Raw genomic sequence first — 18,703 nt, 5'->3', positions numbered from 1 at the left:
GGTGCTGCTGGGCCTTTTTGGTAGGTTTGTGGAGAAAAAGAGGCCAGGGGGAAAGGCTGGCAGTGAAGGCCTTTGTAACTCCAACTCCTGCTGAAAGGGCGTTTTTAGTGAATCCTATCCAAGTGCAGGCAGCCATCCAGCTCTTTTTAGGGAGTGGGTGTTCCCTAGGAAAGTATTCCCCCAACCCTATTTGGAGAATTTTTACCAGAGAAACTCTGGCTGCGCTCCTCTCTGCCTCCTGCAAGAGATAGGGAAGTAGAATCTCAGCAGAGCCCTCTGCCACCCACCCTGAGTCTGGCCAGACCCCAGGCAGCCCCACGTGTGTGTGTGCATATGCTCATGTGCGCGCACACACACACACACACACACACACAAATGTACATGCTGTGTCCATCACACGCCAGGGAAGCAGCAAAGTGCTCATTCCTGTTCCATCTTGTTTGATTGGCTTTCTGTCAACCCTCCTCCCCCTGGAGGACTCCAGTCCCCAAGAGAGGGACATTTTTTGGTTCCGCTAAGAAATTCTGTTTGGAAAAGAATTTCGAGGAGACCTTGCAGCCTGAAGATGATGCGCTTAGGAATAACCTTAAGTGTGATTATAATAAAACCCAAACCACTTCCATGTCAGGTTGCATCTCTCATGTGTTGAGAAGGGAGAACAAAGATTTCACTCACAGGGAAGCTGAGGCCCTGATAATGGTGCAGCACCTTCAAGGCCACGCAGTCAGCTCTGCGCTGTCAGTCAGGATCCATGAGACCCTGCAAGGGGCACGGATCCAACGGCAGACTTGGTTCCAGGCCCCAAGAGCCTGCAGGTAAGCAAGAGTTGGAGTCAGGAGGCTGGGGCTTGAAGGTGGCTCCACTGTGTGGCCTGTCAAACCACTTCACCTCTCGCTTTCCCCCTTAGCCAAATGTGGACAACAATCTCTACCACAGGGCTGTGACTAGGGTGCAATACAATTTCAATGAGACAAGGGCCTTCCTAGGTTCTTGCCATGGTTTATTGCTCTTGAATCTAACAACAACAATAACTAATGTGTTTATAAGTAAATTTCCAAAGACGTGTTCTCATTTAACCTCAATATAGGAAGATATCAGTATTTCCATTTTATAGATGGGGAAACTGAGGCAATTCCTTGAAGTCACACAGTTTTAAAATGATAGAGCAGAGAACCAAAACTGATATCATTTTCCTTACACACTATATAACTAATATATTTTACCCTTCTTTGCCTCAAGGTAAAGTATTACATTCTTATTTTAGATAAGTTAGAAAATACAGAAAGCCACAAAAAATACGTTTCACTATAAGCCCATTCTCCCAAGAATACTGCAACTCCCATTTCGATGAGCCCCAGGGTCCTCCTGTTGCTTAGAAAACAATGTGAATGCAGTGAAGGGAGAGGACTACCATGGAGGCTGTGAGGGGTTGATGCACTGGCTGGGTTGGGCCTGCAAATGTTCAGGATTAAGGCATTTTGGAGGAATGCTGGAAAGAAGGGAAGATGTGGAGTGAAGAACAGGAGGGAGGAGAGTGCGAGGTGTGCAGGGCCAAGGCTCCAAGGAGGGATAGTGAGGACAGGCCTGAAGATCTGGCAGGCCCCAAGCCAGCCTTCTCACCAAAGACCAAGGCCACTGCCCATCTCATATCAGCAAGTCCCTGAGCATTCTGAGATGTTAGGAGTAGGAGGGGCCATGGTCTTCTCAGATGATGAGGTTGAGATCCCAGAAGACTCTCTGGAGAGTCCTACAACCTCACAGGGACTGCCAACCTCCCCCTGGGGGCCTTGGTGGCTATGGAGACATCGCCTGTCCCTCTCTGGCCAGTTAGCTGCCCAGTGGGCAGGGCGGTAGGGACAGCTTCAATGAAGGCCCTGCCTCTAGGCACGGACAGCGTGAGGTTTGATGCAGCTCTGTTCTCCAGCCAGGGCAGCATCAGCAGCTCCTTCAAGCCACACAACCCTGGGTGTCTTTCCAGTGACGTAGGAGGGGGTCCTAGCCAGCCACACCCTCTTTACCAATCCCTGAGTGCAGGTGCCCCAGGGGCAGGGACCCCATCTTGTTACTAATAACAACAATATTGGTAACAAGTCACCTTGCCTTTATATACCACTGTTGAATTTACAGAGCCTTTTTGCACACATTGTCTCACTTAATCCTCAGCAGGTAGGAGGAATTATCCTAATTCTGTAGATAGAGAAAATTAAGCTAAGAGAGACTAAGTGAATTATCTGAGGTTGCACAGCAAGTAATAAAAACGTTTATTTATTTTGCTTGTCACTTTGTGTTGCTCCAGAAAAGATTTAGCTAGCTCATAGGACATGCGACAAGATTAAAAATAAGTTTGAAACATCATTAAAGAGTAGCAAAAAAATAAGTGAAAGAATGTGAAATTCTGGAATCCAGCGAGTCCCCTACACAATGTGCACGCCCTGCCCTCCAAACCTGCCACACAACTGACTTGAAGCATTCTGGCAGATAACACAATAAGGGAAAGATAGTCACAGAATTCAGCGTCCATTAAGTAAAGACAAACCAGAGGCTTAGGAAACACTAAGCTATTCCTGGTTCTAAGACAAGAGGAAATTTTCTACCGAGGGCATCACACAGTGAACACCATCACAAGGAGAGATCATAGTGTGGTCTTTGAATTCTGAGACCTCATCAACACCTCTATGCCTTCGGTTTTTCAACTGCAAAGTGGGGGTAATTATAAAACCTAGCTCACAAATTTGTTTTGACAAATACATGAGAATCTTTAAAAGAGATTTTTTTTTTTTTTTTTGAGACAGAGTCTCTCTCTGTCGCCCAGGCTGGAGTGCAGTGGTGCGATCTCGGCTCACTGCAAGTTCCGCCTCCCAGGTTCAGGCCGTTCTCCTGCCTCAGCCGCCCGAGTAGCTGGGACTACAGGTGCCTGCCACCATGCCTGGCTAATTTTTTGTATTTTTAGTAGAGACAGCGTTCCACTGTGCTAGCCAGGATGGTCTCGATCTCCTGACCTCGTGATCCGCCTGCCTCCGCCTCCCAAAGTGCTGGGATTACAGGCGTGAGCCACCGTGCCCGGCCTGAGAGAGGTTTTTGAAAACAAGTTACTGAGAGAATGTGTAAAGCCCCGTCAAACCCTGCTCAGTCAGAGCTCCAGAAGCATTGGGTGAACAATTCTCAGGGACAACCTTTCAGAAAACCAAGCTGGCTTGGCATGGTGGCTGAGGTAGACCCTGGGGTCTGGCTGCCTGGGTTCAAGCCATATCTCCCCACTCTTTAACGTAATATCTCCATGCTTGTTCTCTCATCTGTAAAGTGTGGGTAAAAATAACCCTTTTCCATAAGGTTATTGTGAGGATTAAAGAAGAGAATTCACACAAATCTCAGCCAAGTGCCCATCGGCACACAGCAAGTGCTCAATGAATGCCAGCTATGTGTAGTATCTTTAAAGTTCTTCCTTATCGTCATCCAGTGTTAGAGGTAGGTAGTTCCTGGAATTTGGGACTGTCCATGTGCCCTGGAGCCCTGAACCCTGGCCTTGCATCCAGTAGGTACTCAATTTATACTTGTGGGATGGAATTGGAAAGTAAGAGAAAGGGATTCCAGCTTAGCCTGGGAGCTGGAAAACTCCAAGTAGAATCACCAGGGGCACACAGCCCTTCCAAGCCTCTGTTTTCTGATATGTGAAATGAACAGGGGCCTGTAATCTCTTGGGACCCTTGAGTTCTCACAGTGATCACCAGAGAGGGCTTTACACTTCAACTACTAACTGCAGAAGGGGCTTGGCTGGGAATCCTTTAAAGAGAGACGTCAGGCCGACCCGATTCCCACCTTTATCTCTAGGAAGGACTGGGCTGGGACTGAGTTGCTGGATGCCCTGCAGAACAATGGTGTGCACGGAGGGCAGTGATCACGGAGACATAGGAGCCACCCCAGGTCCAGGAATCTGTGATTTCTCGCTGCTGGACCTGGAAGAAAGGGGCCTGGGTATGCCTGGGAATGGGCTATTTCCACTCCCGTTTGGGACCCTGCCCCCTTGAGGAAGCGTTGCCTCAGCTGACACCGACAGGAGATGGCTCTGTCTGGTGTGAGAGGAGAGGCAGATGGGGGTGGGGGAGGATGGAAGAGGTGAGAGAGGAAATGCTGACTGCTGTGTGGGAAGCCAGAGAAAGCTGGGCATCGCCTGGGAGAAGGAACCTGAGCCGCGGGGACAGCCGGGGAGCAGCAGGCCCCTCTGCAGCAGCAGCAGGAGCCCCAGGGACACCCCGCCGGAGGGCCTGGCATGGCCTGCGTGCTGTGGCCTCCCCAGATGCCAGGCAGCGCCATTCCTGAGCAGGGAGGTCTCCAGGTTCATACAGTGCAAAGAGGCAGTTTAAGCCAAAGGGAGGATCTGCAAACTTCTGCTGTGGCACTCAGGCGACCCCTGGCACCAGGGCCGTCCAGTGCCTCGGCTTCTCCCTGGGCCTCTCTCCTCCCAGCCTGAGCCTCACTCTGTTTCTGCCACTCTGCACTTGGTGCCTGGAAGGGAGGAAATAACTATTAGTGTCACCTGCTTACCAATGAGAGACATTAGCTGGCTCTGGCAGAACATGCGGCCTGTAATTTTTGGAGGAGTTACAATAATGGAGCTAATTTGGCGCTTTATCATCGTGCTCCTGGGTGAGCAGGGGGAAGGGAGGCCTGGGGCCTGGTTTATAGCAACCTCCCAGCAAAGAGCTCTGTACTTCCTGGGAAATCTCTGGGATCCTGGCCCCATGCTCCCTCCTTCCTGTCCCCCTCTCCCACACCGCTTGCTTCTCCTTCCAGTGAGGCATTGTCAGGATGCAGTTTGGAGATGGCTGAAGCCAACCCACTAGCGGCCAGAGGCCGCTCCACAGCAGGATGGAACAGGAAGGGGCCCGAAAGTGTCTGAAGAGTTTGCTCTGCACTAGATCCCTGTGAGGCGTCTTCAGTGCATACACTCATTGGGCTTCACGGTTCACCCTATTTTACTAATGAGGAGGTGAGGTCATCTGGTACAATGCTCTCATTTTACGGCTGAGGATGCACAGCTCAGGGAGGCACAGTGACTTGCCCCATATCATTCTACTGATTCGCAGCAGAACCGGGATTTGAACCCAGACCTCTGAGAGCCAGCTTAATTTTTCCCTTAAGTTCTCTTACTGGGAACATCTGAACTGGAGCCTGAGAAGACACAGGATGCCCTCCCCAATCCTACTGATTGAAGGCGCTGCTGGGTAGGGAAGCCCAGGGCTGGGAGGGAAGAAAGAGCCAGCAAATCAGCTCAGCTTCCATGGGGCCCTGCAGGCAGGAGCTGGGGCCTCTGAAATCCAGGCTAGAAGATGTGTCGTTCCCACCCTCTACCCAGGAACAACTCCAAGGCAGCTGCCTCTTCCTCCAACTTTTGCTGACTTAGACATCCATGGGGCACACCTGGCCCCTCAGCCCACCAGGCAGGCAGTGGGGACTGCACACCCAGTGGGCTTAGTGCCACCACCTGCCTCCATGTGGCAGGAGAATGAAAGGCTTACAAACAGATTGTATTCTTGCTATATGCACGTCTCGGTTTTCCTACTAGCAGCTGGCCGTGCTCTCCCCGTGGTTTCCTCTTATGCCTGTAAATCAGGGCGAAAGGCACCTGCTTCACAGGTAGCCACCTCAAGCATGACAATACTGCCCATCATCAGAAAGGGTCAGAGACCTTCAGTGAGTTTTACAGTCACACAGCTGGAAAGCAGCAGGGCAGGGATTCGAACCCCAGGTTCTGTGCCCAACTCCATGCATCGCTCCTTGGAACTGTTTATACTAAAACTCCTGTAGCAGACTCATGGTTCTTCCCTTCTGGAATCATGAATCAGGAGTTCTTCGTTGATGATTAGTCGTGGGTCTAGATGAAGGCCACCAAAATGCCTAAAACATGAGGCCAAGGGAAGGTTCTTGGTTTTGGTGAAGAGAAGGTGGAGTCAAAACTGATACAGTCTTAGAAGGCATAACCTCTAAATTATGATGTAATAGTAGGTGGGAACTAGGAGGGAAGGCATAGATGCCCCAGGAACTGGGTCAGCCATTTGGGGGGACTTCCTGAGTTCCGGGCGGGGGTGGAACACTGGAAAAGAGGCATTGATTGTTAAGCTGAATGTGGTCTTGCTGGGAAGCTGGGACTGGGTAAGTTGGCTGATCACTTGGGGCCTCTTGCTTCCTAGTGGCATGTGATGGGAGTTGCTTTGCTCTGATCCTTAAATATCCCGCACCAAGGGAATGAATTTTGAGATCTGACACCTTCAACTCTCCCAAGAAGCCTGTAGAGATCACAGACCATCTCCTCACCCTTCCTCAAGACCTAAGGAAGCAAGGAAATAACAGTGAGGAATATAACTACACCTTTACAGGAGACAGGGGAAACACTTCACTGGCTCAAAACTTTTTCATATGTGGGTTTCCTCCTCCCAGTCCTGGTGGCTGCTCCCCAGAGACCTCAGGTACAAAGATCTGTGCAGAGAGGGCCCGGGGTTCTTCCACTGAACTGCCGCGTTGGGGACAAGAATTTTGGCCCAGGGGTTCTGCCCCTGCTGGCCTAGCTTCTCCCCCTCCCTCCTTCCCCTGAGGCAGTGTCTGCTGCAGCAGTTTGGCACTTGGTGAGAGAATGACTTAACAGGTGACTTTCGTGAGAAATGACGGGCTGAGGCCAGGGTGCTGCACTAGCAGGTTTAAGTGAGCAGGATGTATCCTCTCATAGTCTGTAACGCAGGGTGACACCATCCATTCATCTTCTTTCAAGAGAGGCAGGTGGGGGCAGGCAGAAGGGAGGTAATATTCTAAGTCTCAGAGCTTTCTCTCTCATGCTTCTTGCTTCCAGAACACCAAGAAATTTCACCTTCAAAACCTACACGGTCCTCGGCAGCCCTAACCCTCAATAACCAGGGACAGAAGGTGGGGTGGAGTGGGGTGGAGCATGGACAGTCCCAGAGGAGGCTGGGTGGGATGGAGGAGAAGAGCAACACCTTCAGAGTCAACAAACCTGAGTCCAAAGCCAAGCTTAGCACATGAGACCCTAGGCAAGTTATTTAACCTCTATGAGTTTCAGTACAATGTAGAGATGATTATGCGCTCCTCCCAGGCATAGAGTATGAGTAAAATGAACGTAATATGTGTTAAGAGCTGGGTGCAGTGGCTCATGCCTGTAATCCCAGCACTTAGGGAGGCCGAGGCGGGCAGATCATGAAGTCGGGAGTTTGAGACCAGCCTGGCCAACATGATAAAACCCCGTCTCTACCAAAAATACAAAAATCAGCCCGGCATGGTGGCATGCACCTGTAATCCCAGCTACTCGGGAGGCTGAGGCAGGAGAATTGCTTGAATCCAGGAAGCCGAGGTTGCAGTGAGCCGAGATCGCACCACTGCAGTCCAGCCTGGGCGACAGAGCGAGACACTCAAAAAAAAAAAAAAAAGTGTTAAGTACCCAACATAGTGCCTACAAACTAGTAGATGCTCCATAACTGTTAATCTCCTCCTCTCTTGACTTTGGCTTTAATCACCAAAATAAATAGATTCAAAGAAGTGGAAGAAACTTCAAAATCCTGTCCAGAGTATTCGTGTTCAATTGGTTCTTCCAACTAGACAAAAGCAATGGTTGTCAGTTCCTGAGACTTCCCTGGGGCATGTTAAACATAGATTATTGGCCCTGCCTTCTGGTGAGGGTAGGGCCCAAGAATTTGTGTTTCTGATTAGTTCCAAGTGATGCTGATCTTATTGGTCAGGAACACATCCTTGGAGATCTATGGCAATAAGGAATATTTACAGAGTGGTGTCAGATATCTTTGAAACACTGTCTTTGCTTAATACCTAATTTTCTTAAACCCTGTAAATTTGGATAAGGCAGCTTCTTTCTAAAATATACCCAGTGTGCCATGTGGTGCACAGGAAAAAGGCAAAGGGAAGTAAGTGGTGAGGGCCAGGACCAGTCCAGCAGCCCACATGGCTTCGATCCTTCAGAACCCTTGCTTGTGCCTAAAAAAAGAGAAGAGGCCTTTTATGCCTTAACTTTTGCTTGGCAGCTCTGATATTTAATGACTTCAGTTGCATTAGGACATGTTCCATGTCACAGAGATTCTAATAGGGTCTGACCTGGGGCAACCTCAGAATCTCTCGCCTTATATCACGAACTGAGGCTATGTAACACTCATCTGGGAAGCCTGTCAATAATGCAAACATCCAGGCCCCGCCTCCAGAGATGATGACTCAGTAGATCTTGGGCGCAGCTCAGGAATCAAGTCTCCACCTCCCAAGCTTCTAATGCAGGGAATATTCAGCCCACCCGCTGAGGAACACCTATGAGGCTCCACCCTGACACCATCTCAATAACCACAGCAACCCTCCTGGGGAGACCAGAGGCTGAGGCTGAGGTTAAGCAAGGGCCTACTCTTGTCACCCATTCATTTTGCCACCTTAACCAGGTGAGCCCCACAAAGCTGAGTTGCTCATTAATTCAACAAATACTTGTCAGCATCTGTTATACACCAGGCACCGTGCTCAGTACTGAGAATACAGTGGTGAGTAAAATATGAGGTTGAGATTAGGGTGAGGCGAGTGAAGTACCCAGGGGGCAGAATGGAAGGGGACACTCACTCTTGGATACATGCATGAACCTGACAGTGAGCACTTCCTTCACTTTTGTACCTGGGCACCTGCTTTGCCTCACCCTTGTCCTGGCCCTGGCAAAACAGACCCAGATCTGTCCTTCGGGAACACAGTTGGCAGCAGAGGGAGGCGCTGGAGGAAGTGGCCTGAGATGAGTGGGTCTCTGCCATGTGAAGAGCTGGGGAAAGAACGGTCAATCAGAGGAAGAGAAAGTGCAAAGTCATGGGGCAGGAAGAGCCTGGGGCATTTGAGGAAGCCTGTGAGGAGAGCCCTGGCACGGGGGGAGGCTGAAGAGTCAGCCCCGTTCGTGGAGGGCCCTGTAGATCTTGATAAGTGCTTTTGTTTTTATTCCTAGTGAAAGGGGATGCCATTGGAGGTTTTAAACAAGGAGTGGTACAATCCATTTTCCATCTGGGGAAGAGCACTCTGGCTGCTGTGTGGAGAATGGGGCGGGAGAGCAAGGGAAGCAGGGAAGGCAGATAGGAGGCGGCTGTATGCTGGCAGGGGGGTAGGCTTTGGCCTCCGTGTGGCACTGGAGATGGAGAGAGGTGGGTGGACTTGAGATGGAATTTGGAGTTAGAATTATCAGGGCTTGATGATGATCTAAATCCAAAAGAGGAAGGCAGATGTCCACAAAGATGTCTCATTTCTGGCTTGAGCAACTGGGTGGATGGATGGGCCAGGTTGGGGAAAATTAGAGGAGAATGTAAACAGAAAAGGGCAACTTTGAGCCTCTGAGAAGTTTTAGATTTCCAGCCACATGGCCATGTCATTTTGGATATATGAGTCTGGAGTCTAGAAGAGATGTCTGCGGAGGGGCCATAAACTCAGGAGCCATGAGTGGGGAGATGGATATTAACATTATGGCTGAGTGAGGAGAGAAAAAGCTTGACAAACTTCACTGTTTAGAGGCAGGGATGGGAGAAGAGGCTGGCACAGGAAACCTGAAAAAGGCAGCCAGAGAGGTGGGAGAAGAACCGGAAGGAAGTGGAGTTGTCAAGAGCAGGGCAGTCAACTCTGTGAAAGGCTGGAAAGAGCTTCTCTATGGAGCACCTTGCCATGGCAAGACCCAGAGATTCTGGAGTGTGGGGAGCAGGAGGTGGGGAAAGATCTTAATCTTCAGGGTGACTGTCCCCAAAGAGATGATGAAGCTAAAGCCACTGTCACGCAGTGCAGGCCTGTGCCTTTGGCTGAGACCAAAGCCCTGCCTATTTGGCATCCCCCTCAGGGCACTTGTTTGCAAGAAACATTCCTCAGCTGCCCCAGGAGACTCATCAGGAAACCAGGACCAAGGTATCTTCCCTCCTGCTGAGAGTCCCAGCCCCCACAGCCCTGCGAGGGGCAGAGAGCAGATCTCTCACCACGGGGAGATGTCTGCCCTCTCCCCAGGAGAAACTGGCAGCTATTTGACAGCCACTCGGCAAGACAACTTGTGACAAGAAATTAAGATGGATTTTCATCATTAACTTCATTAATGTACCCTTTACTACCCCCACCACCCCTGTGGTTAATGAAGATGACAGTGGAAGGACCAGATCTGAAGTGAGGTCCTCGGCTCTGGGCTCTCAGGCACAAGCACCCTACGGCACAGACTTCCTGGCTTGACCAGGCATTACTGCCATCTCTTCTAAAATTTCTCCAAACTCCACTCCTCTCAAGCTCCTTTCCACTCTCTCAGCCCCTCTTCTTCTCCACCCTCACTTTAAAAAGTCATTAGGAAGAGATCTGCACCTCCCAGTGTGTTCTGACTCACGGATATTTGCCCAAAAGTAATGGTGCGTGTGAAATACTAAGCCTCTTTTCAAGGGCAGGTTCACGAAGGGGAGGCTGAGAAAAAGTTTCCTAAATAAGACCATCTGTTTCTCTGAAGATGCTCAGATGCTGAAACATTTGCTTCCCGCTGATGTGCTTTAGTCTCAATGGGTCCCTAGGACAAACCCAGACTCAAGGATCTCACCCACGTCCTCCGTGCACCGCTGCTCCACACCGGCTTGGGGGTGCCCGCTTCTCCATGGGGCAGTCCTTAGCTCTGTGTCCACACTGCAGGGTGAAGCTGGAGTATACTGAGTTCGTATAAGGAGCCTCAATTCTGGTTGATCATTTATTCATAATGCTGCAAGGCCCTTGGGGCAGAGAAGCACTTGAGAGTAAAAGCAGGCATGGAACTCAGAACAAACAGAACCTGCCCCAGCACCCAGCAGGAAGCCCCGAGCGTCACAACAGACACATCCCACCCTTCCACCCCAGACACCCCCAGCATTCTTGCTGAAGCCCTAGGAGCCCGGGCCTGAGGCGGAGCAGGGAATCAACTCACGTCACCCAGGCCGGTGTTCACAGCAGGGGCCCCCTCTCGGCACCCTAGGAAGGAGTGCCCACTCCCACAGCTCCTCTCTCCCAGGCGAGAGCTGAGCCAGCTGTGGGAACGTGGGGCGGGCAGAGCGTCAGTCTCCACTCTCCTCCTGCAGCCCCTCACCCGGCAGTTTAGCACATCCTGCCGGGTTCCTCTCGGAAGTCCTGACTTTGCCTTGGGGCAGTTGTAAGATTTCTCCCTTGGCCTTTACCACCCAAGGGCAATGGGAGCACAACCCCAGGCCAGACCAAGGGAGTCAGAGGAGGTGACCCAAGAGGGGGTGACAGGACAGCTGGCCTGGAAAGATCAGAGTTGTCCAGGATGGTCAGAGGGATGGAGAGGTTATTTCAGGTGGTAGAAAGAACAAGATGAAGTCATGAAGGTGGGAAAGATCTTGGAGCATTTAGTGAGGAGGTGTCATCAAGAGGCAGGATGGTGTCATGGCTGAAAGTGGGGGCTCTCAAGCTTCCGTCCACATCCTGGCTGTGCCATTTAGTAGCTGTGTGCCCTTGGGCCACTTGCATAACCTCTCCGTACTTCAGTGTCCCCAGGTAAAAAGTGGTGATAATAGTAGTAGCCATCTCCCAAGGCTTTTGTGAAGATTATATGACATCATACGTATAAGCACTTAGGGCAGGACAGCACATAGTAAACACTCAATGTTATGGTTATTATGGCTGGAGTGTACGGCACCTGGGGCAGAACAGTGGAAGGTGAGGCTGGCTAGAAAGGCGAGGGCCACCCGGTGAAGAAGCTTGAATGCCATGTGATTCTGTGGATTAGTGATTTTTCATGCCGACTCCTAAAAGTTCCAAGGAGGGAGCCCGAGGTGTTGAAGGTACTCTGGATGCCCTGTTTCTGAGCCACTCTTCAGCTGCTGTATATGATTGGGCTTTTGGATGATACTTCATTTGAAGAAGAGGCTTTCCAACTACAAAACAAGTGTGAAATGAGAAGCCACTGAAGAATTCTGAGCAGGAGACCAACCACCTGGTTACAGCAAGGAGGATGGATTGGAGGGAGTGGGCAGGGGGAGTTAGAAAACTGCAAGGATCTGGCAGAGATGGTGCAGGCCAGAGCTGAGGTAGTGCAGCGAGGATGGGAGGAGAGGGCCTCAGAGTTTGGGGACACTCAGAAGGGAGAAGCTGTGCAGCTTGGGAACTGAGTAGCTGTGGAGGCCGTAGCATCTGAACTCATGCTCACTTTCTCCCGGCCCCTGCCACCCATTCTTTACAAGCTGCTGAAGTCCCAAACTGCTGCAAGTCCTCAAAGGGCTCTGCTTTTCATAGGAAGCAAAATCCAAGCACTTGCAAGTCCTCCCTTAACCTCCCTCTTACCCTTTGCTTACTCTGGTATCATAGCCACCATCCGCTTCCCCCAGCCAGACCCACAGCACTCTTTGCTAGCCTCTGCTGAGAGCTCTCCTTCCATTCTTGGCTGCTCCTCCCCATCTTTCAGGACCACTATGAATAAAGCGGCCGCACACCCACTCACTACCCTTGGTCAGGTCCCTGGCTCCCTCGCTGCCCTTGGGTACCATCTTGCTTAGTGTACTTTTGTCTTCCTCCCTTAGAATACAAGTTCCTGGAGGGCTGGGACTTTGTCTTATCATTACTATCTCTCCAGATCCTCCAACATTTAGTGGGTGTGTGACAAATGAATGACACACATGAAAATGGTCTCTGGTGTGGGTGTCTGGGTTGAAGGTGACACAGTGGACTGAGTAGGAAGTAAAGCAGGAAGGGCAGGGGTAGAGCCAGTCTCCCATTGTCTGCAGAATCAAGGACAAACTCCCAAGTATGGGCTAAGAGGCAGGCAAGGCTGGCCCTTGCCTGGGGCCCTGTTTCTAGCCTCATCTGGGAGCTCTCCGCCCCTGTCATCACCATGCTGTCAGCCACAGGGAACCTCTCATGCGCCCCGAACACTCCCTGCCCCTTCTGTGTCTTTAGGCACTGTTGATCCCTCTCCAGAGAAAAAAAGCAAAAGCGCTTGCTTACTTTTTTCTGCTAGAAATCTACTTTTACTGACCTGTCTAGATCCTATCAAATATCACCCTCTTTGGGAAGCCTAGCTTGAAATCTGGGGCTGAATTCCTTCTTCCTTGCTCTGCATGCCCACGTCTTGTCCACACCTCTATTACTGCACCGACCAAACCAAACAGTACTACCTACTGACATGCCTTTCCCTGCCCCTGTTCCAAGACCGTGAGCTCTTTATAACAGTAGTAATAATTATAATAGTTGCCAATACTTACTAAGCACCTACTCTGTGCCAGCCACTGTGCTAAGTAAGCACTTTGCACAAATTACCTCATTTAATCTCTGCGGCAACCCTAAGAGGTGGGTCCTATATTCATCCCACTGTACAGTGTACAGGTTAGGAAGCCAAGATTATGAAAGGTTAAGTAAGCCATACTACTCTCTTAGGAGTACTTAAGCTTTCATAGTCTTAAGAGCTGGAAGCTGGATCTGCCTGACCCCAAATCCACATTCTCAACCATTTGTTCATTAGCCAGTATTTGCTGAGCACTTACTACACATCAGGCACTGGGCTACACATGAGAGGTATAAGGATGAATAAAACCAGACCCCATTCGTGCCTTCAAAGAGCATACAATCTGGTGAGAAACACAGGCATTCATCATGTAGTCCCCAGATCAACATAAAAGTTAGAGTTGTAGTGTGTGCTATGAAGAGGAGGCCTGTGTTGCTATGGGAGGAGATATCACAGGGGCTGGCTCAGCTCCAGGTATCTGGCTTCCACATCTGACTCATCTCTGTACCCCCAACACAGAGCCCCAGGCCTACAATGCGGGGTTTCTTTAGCCATTGGAGTCCAACTGGCTTCTACCTCATCTCTCTTCCAGCCCCCCTACCCTCCCACAACCCCTGGGGAACTTAACAGCACTTCCTGCCCAGTGCTTCTGAGATCTTTTTAGGTCTCCTATGGCTTTCCTGAAAGTATAGCGGATGCTTCTCTGCTGATGATGAGAGATTCAGACAAGCCACTTAATGACTAAGAGACTAGAAGTGCTCTGTAAGAAATGGGGAAGCATTGTTCTTGCTTTGCTTAGCCTGCATTCCCAAGATGGACTCACAGGCACTGACGCCACTCGCTGCTTATTCAGGAGGAAACATGACTGGCCTTGGAGAAGAACAAAACATTTGAGGGGCAATGGGAACTTAAAAAATGGGAGCATTTGGATTTCAAAACGAAATTGCTAGATTCCCTGAGGCAGGCGATAGACACCACTTAAGCATCCTTGGGTCGTCTCAGTTGGTGATGGCTGATAGATTTTCCAGTTGGAATCTTGGGTTCTCATGGCTGACAGGGACCTTGAGGATAGAGCATCTCATCTAGAACAACCCCTTCATTTTATAGCCCAAGGACCAGAGATGGGAAATGATTTGCTCAAGGTCTCACAGCTAACTGGGGGTAGAGGGTCTAAAGTCCAGGTCTCCTGATTCATGGTTCACTGCTCTTTCATGGGCAGCCCACAAATAGGATCTCTTTTTCTATGCCCAGGACTATGTGACTGCATCAAGTAGAGAGAAGTGCTTTAATCAGTTGTTGCAGATGGGCCTCTGGGAAGCCAGGGAGCACAGTGTTGTGCTATAGATAGGTGAGCCTTTAAGAATCTTACTCTCCAGATGCCCTGTGCACTGCAGCCAAGGAGAATGCTACTAATATGGGCAGCGACATCAGGTGGACAAGTTGCACTAAAGGACAGATTTCTCCAGAAGCCAACATCCTGGCTTCCCCTCCCCTGCCAGCAGGTCCACCTCCTGCAAGCACTAGCCAAGACTTTCAGCCAGCTGCTACTGAGCTCAGATCTACCCTATCAGCTCCTAGGTTAGAAGTCTAGAGGGCTACGCTGGTTTCTGCTGCTTTCTGGACAGCAGTGACCTCTCCTGCACCAGAGAGCTCATTACCAGTCAGGGGCCCTAAGGCAGCCTCTCCTGACAGCAGGTGAAGATGAAAGCAATAATGTGCTAGCTGTTCTGAAGCCCCTGGTCACCCCTTGTTTTATTGAAGTCCAAAGTCTCAAACACCTCTAATGAGGATAAAAGGCTGGTAAGCCATGTGGGATCTGACTGAAACCGCCTGAGAGAGGGTAGTGCAGAGAGAGGACCTGGTGAGGGCCGAGCTGGGGCCTGGCTTTCCAGAGAGAGAGAGTGACTACCAGGAGATGCTGACCCTCTCTGTTTAGCTCTCATCTCTTATTTACTCAAAATTAACCTGTTTAATTTCCTTTATTAAATAATCCAGTCCTCCGCTGCTTGTGTGTGCAGGGGAACAGTGAACCAAGAGCTGCTGACTTGCCACCAGGCACAGTGAGGGCCAGCCACTCCCCCGTGCGAAGCCTGGAGCCAGGCTTTTGTCTTCTGGCCCTGGTTTCCTCCCTGCCTCCAGGTCATAGTGGGATCTTGAGCCAGTCCTTTCACCTGGCTGCGCCCATGGATGGAGGGTGCAGTTCATTTTTGGGTGCACGGGCCACACCACACTGCAGACTCAGCACCTGCATGTCGCCAGCTGCCACGGTCCTATGAGAAAGAGCAGGGGTCCTGCAAAAACCAGGGAGGTCTGCGGGTCACTGCTCCCCTGGAGGGAGCCATCCTGACAGCAGTTCATAGAGCCTGGGGCAATGCTGTTTACCCCGAGGGACCCCTCATATCCCCAGGCAAGCCTCCCAGGTCCATAACAAATCAACTCAGACTCCCCCAAAAGAGACAGCCTGTGAAAGCGCAGGCAACTCCGCATCTGTAGGACTTGGTGGTGGGGAAATGGTGACAGTGGCCTTTTGTTTGCTCCCTCTCAGAGGGGCCACAGGAGCTTCCAGAGTTCTTCCCAGGGCCCTAACTTGATCATAACACTGCGTGAAGAACCACTCCTTCCAGAGTTCTTTTACTAAAATGTGAGCACCCCTTTCTGCAAGCATTTCTGTAGCTGCTTTTGTGTCCTGCTGGGCATGCTGAAGCACAAGCAGGTGCAAGGCAAGGACCCTGTCCCAAAAGGGGCTCTCGTCACTAGATGCTGGGGGGCACAGCTGCAGGGCAAAGGGGACTTGGTGACTCCTGTGAGCTGTTCGAGGACAGGAAGCCCTGCAGGGGTGTTCGGGAGAGATGCTTACTGTGGGCTGGACCCTGGGCAAGGGTCCATGGGGGTGTGGTGTGGGGGCATGATGTAGGTATAGGAGTATCCAAGCAAAGAGGAGAAGGGGAGGCATTTTGACAAGAAGGACCAACAATATACCAGCCATGTGGAGCAGAGGGTTGGCACAGAGAAGGGAGAGAGCAGCAGGTGAGGAGGTAGGACAGGGCCCAGTTGCTGAAAGCCCCAAGTGCAAGCTAAGAAGATGAGCCTTGATCCCAGAAGCCAAACAAGGGGAACCACTGAAGGGGTTTGAGCAGTGGCAAGGATATATGAAAATCTGGCACCAAAGCACTCACTAGTCACACAGCCTTGGGCCAGTTATTTAACTTCACCAAACACTAATTTTCTCCTGTGTGCAATAGGGATGATGAGAGAGAGAGCACCTACCTCGCAGGGCTGAGGTAAGACTCACCGAGATAATCTAGCAAAGTACTTAGCAGAGGCCTGGCACACAGTCCATGTGCAATGGGTTGGTTCCTAGTACTGTGCTCACTGAATCTAAAGAGTTTCAGTAACTTGGGGCTTGAAGGGTTATTAAGGGAAATAAAGGGGCTTCTCTTTACACCTCAGTGCCTATGTGAGACATGGAATATTTAGCCAGATGTGATGCTGATCTGCCCCCTGCCGCAGGACCCATGCCAGGGCACAGGGCACTTGCTATGTGTCTCTCTCTTGACTAGGGGACTAGGGAGCCAGGAGATGCACCTGAGTGAGATGGGGACTCCAGCACCTTCTTTTAACTGGTTACGCCCCGCTAGACCATCTGCATGTCGAGGGTGGGGACTGCATACTCTCCACAAAGCATGGTGCCTCTGGCAGGCACTCTGTAAATACGAATGGAAACAAAAATGAACAAGTGGATGGAATGTAAGCCAAGGTGCAGAAGGGTGAGGGTTCCCTTGAGCAGCTTCCTAGATGAGCTGGAAGGGCATTGCTCAAAAGCGGAGTGCAAGGACCACTCTCTCGAGAGTCACGAGTCCAAGCAGCTGGCAAGGCTTGTAAACCTGAGCAAGTTATTCGTCCGTGAAATGGAGGGGAAAATGCCAACAAGCCTGCCTCGCAGAGTTGCTGAGAGCCTCACAGCTGGAAGTGATCTTCATGGAGGCGCTTCACAGGGGCTGGTGTGGGATGGCTGGCTCTGCGGAGGCCACGTGGTTCTGTGTGCAGGAGGGGTGGCTGTCTCCACAGTGTGCCCCGCCCTGGCCCCAGCCAGGCCCTTCCTGGGAAGCTGGGGGTATTCACCTTCTGCTGTTCCTAGAATTTGATTTGGGGGGTGACTTTTTTCGGGGGCCTGGACAAAAAGACAAATCTAGGGCTAGGAAAAGAGGGTGAGGGTGTCAGGGCTGCCTAGAGGAGAGTGCGGTGAGCGCAGGCTCTGGAGGTAGGGGGAGACAGGGCCTTGGCTTATTCTCCAGGGGGGGAACAGGGCTGTAGGAGTCTCCAGGAGAGGGTGGCTCTTTGCAAGGAGAATGGACAAAAACCCTGGTGTCACCCTCGACTCTTCTCTCTCCCAGAAGTCATTATCTCCTTAGAGAGGTCTTCTCTAGCTAAACATTCAACAACTGTAGCCTCCTGCTGGTCATTTTATATTCCACTTCTCTGCCTTTTGTTCTCCTTGATACTTTTGACTATCTAACTTATATACTTACCTCCTTTATTGTCCTTTGCCCTAATAAAATGTAAGCTCCACTCGTAAAGATGGCAACAATAGACACTGGGGACTACTAGAGTCGGGAGGGAGGGAGGGGGCAAGGTTTGAAAAGCTAACTGTTGGGTGCTATGCTCACTACCTGGGTGGCAGGATCATCTGTACCCCAAACCTCAGCATCATGCAATATACCCATGTTACAAACCTCTATATGTACCCTCTGAATCTGAACCTAAAATAAAAGGTGGAATTTTTTTTAAGTTGAAATTTATTTTTTAAGTTCCATGAAAACAGGGATTTTTGTCTGTTTTGTTCTCTCCTATATCCTTAGCACTCAGATCAACACTTAGCACATAACAGGTGCTCAATAAATAGTTGTTAACTGACTGAATTACTGAATGGATGGATGGATGGAGGGCCTCATCTGAAATCACCCTAAACGCTGACCTCTTCCTCCTCAAACCTGACTCTGGAAGCCCTATGGGAGGAAATGTCTCCATATCTTGGAGTCCCTCCTCAAACCTGTGGGAGGAGGCTTCACCGTGACAGCGCCCTCCTTCATCAAATGGAGGAAGCAACCTGGCAAGGCACTGTTTAATGCCACAGATGGGTGTGCTTACTGTCTTTGAGGTTTTCCTGTTCTCTCAGAAACTCCCAGGAATCCCTGGCCATGACAATTCTGGGGTTAGGAGAGGCAGCAGAGCGTGTGCTCTGTGCTGGGTTTATTTTTAAAGGATGACCACATTTAAGGAGAAAAGAGAAAGTGGACCTGAGGCCTGGCATCAAACACTTGCCATCAGATGGGATGGAAAGTGTTTGTCTCCTTGGTTGGCTGTGATTGACAAAGAACAACTGCACTGAGGGGCAGAAGAAGAAAAGAATCATGGACCTGCTGGGAGAGGGGACAGCTGAAGTCTAGAGCATGTGTC

At 50.6% G+C, this 18,703-nt stretch overlaps 1 protein-coding gene across 9 annotated transcripts in view, besides 2 other annotated features; it reads left to right on the top strand.

Annotated features, from left to right (window-relative positions):
- SYT6 (synaptotagmin 6) overlaps positions 1 to 18,703 on the top strand; it is a 64,578-nt gene that overhangs the window by 31,014 nt on the left and 14,861 nt on the right. The window lies entirely within an intron of this gene.
- Positions 13,574 to 13,623: an enhancer, noted in NCBI's record as "active region_1543". NCBI's record gives its function as "activates an Ori minimal core promoter by ATAC-STARR-seq in GM12878 lymphoblastoid cells {active_cell/tissue: GM12878}" and the evidence as "EXISTENCE:reporter gene assay evidence [ECO:0000049][PMID:35858748]".
- Positions 17,314 to 17,961: an enhancer, noted in NCBI's record as "NANOG-H3K4me1 hESC enhancer chr1:114647517-114648164 (GRCh37/hg19 assembly coordinates)". NCBI's record gives its function as "activates a minimal SCP1, AML or CMV promoter by ChIP-STARR-seq in primed H9 embryonic stem cells {active_cell/tissue: H9 hESC(primed)}" and the evidence as "EXISTENCE:reporter gene assay evidence [ECO:0000049][PMID:30033119]".

This window comes from Homo sapiens, chromosome 1 (genome assembly GCF_000001405.40).
Source record: "Homo sapiens chromosome 1, GRCh38.p14 Primary Assembly".
NCBI lineage: Eukaryota > Metazoa > Chordata > Mammalia > Primates > Hominidae > Homo > Homo sapiens.
Note: the sequence above shows the minus strand (reverse complement) of the source record. Positions and strands in the feature narration are given on the sequence as shown.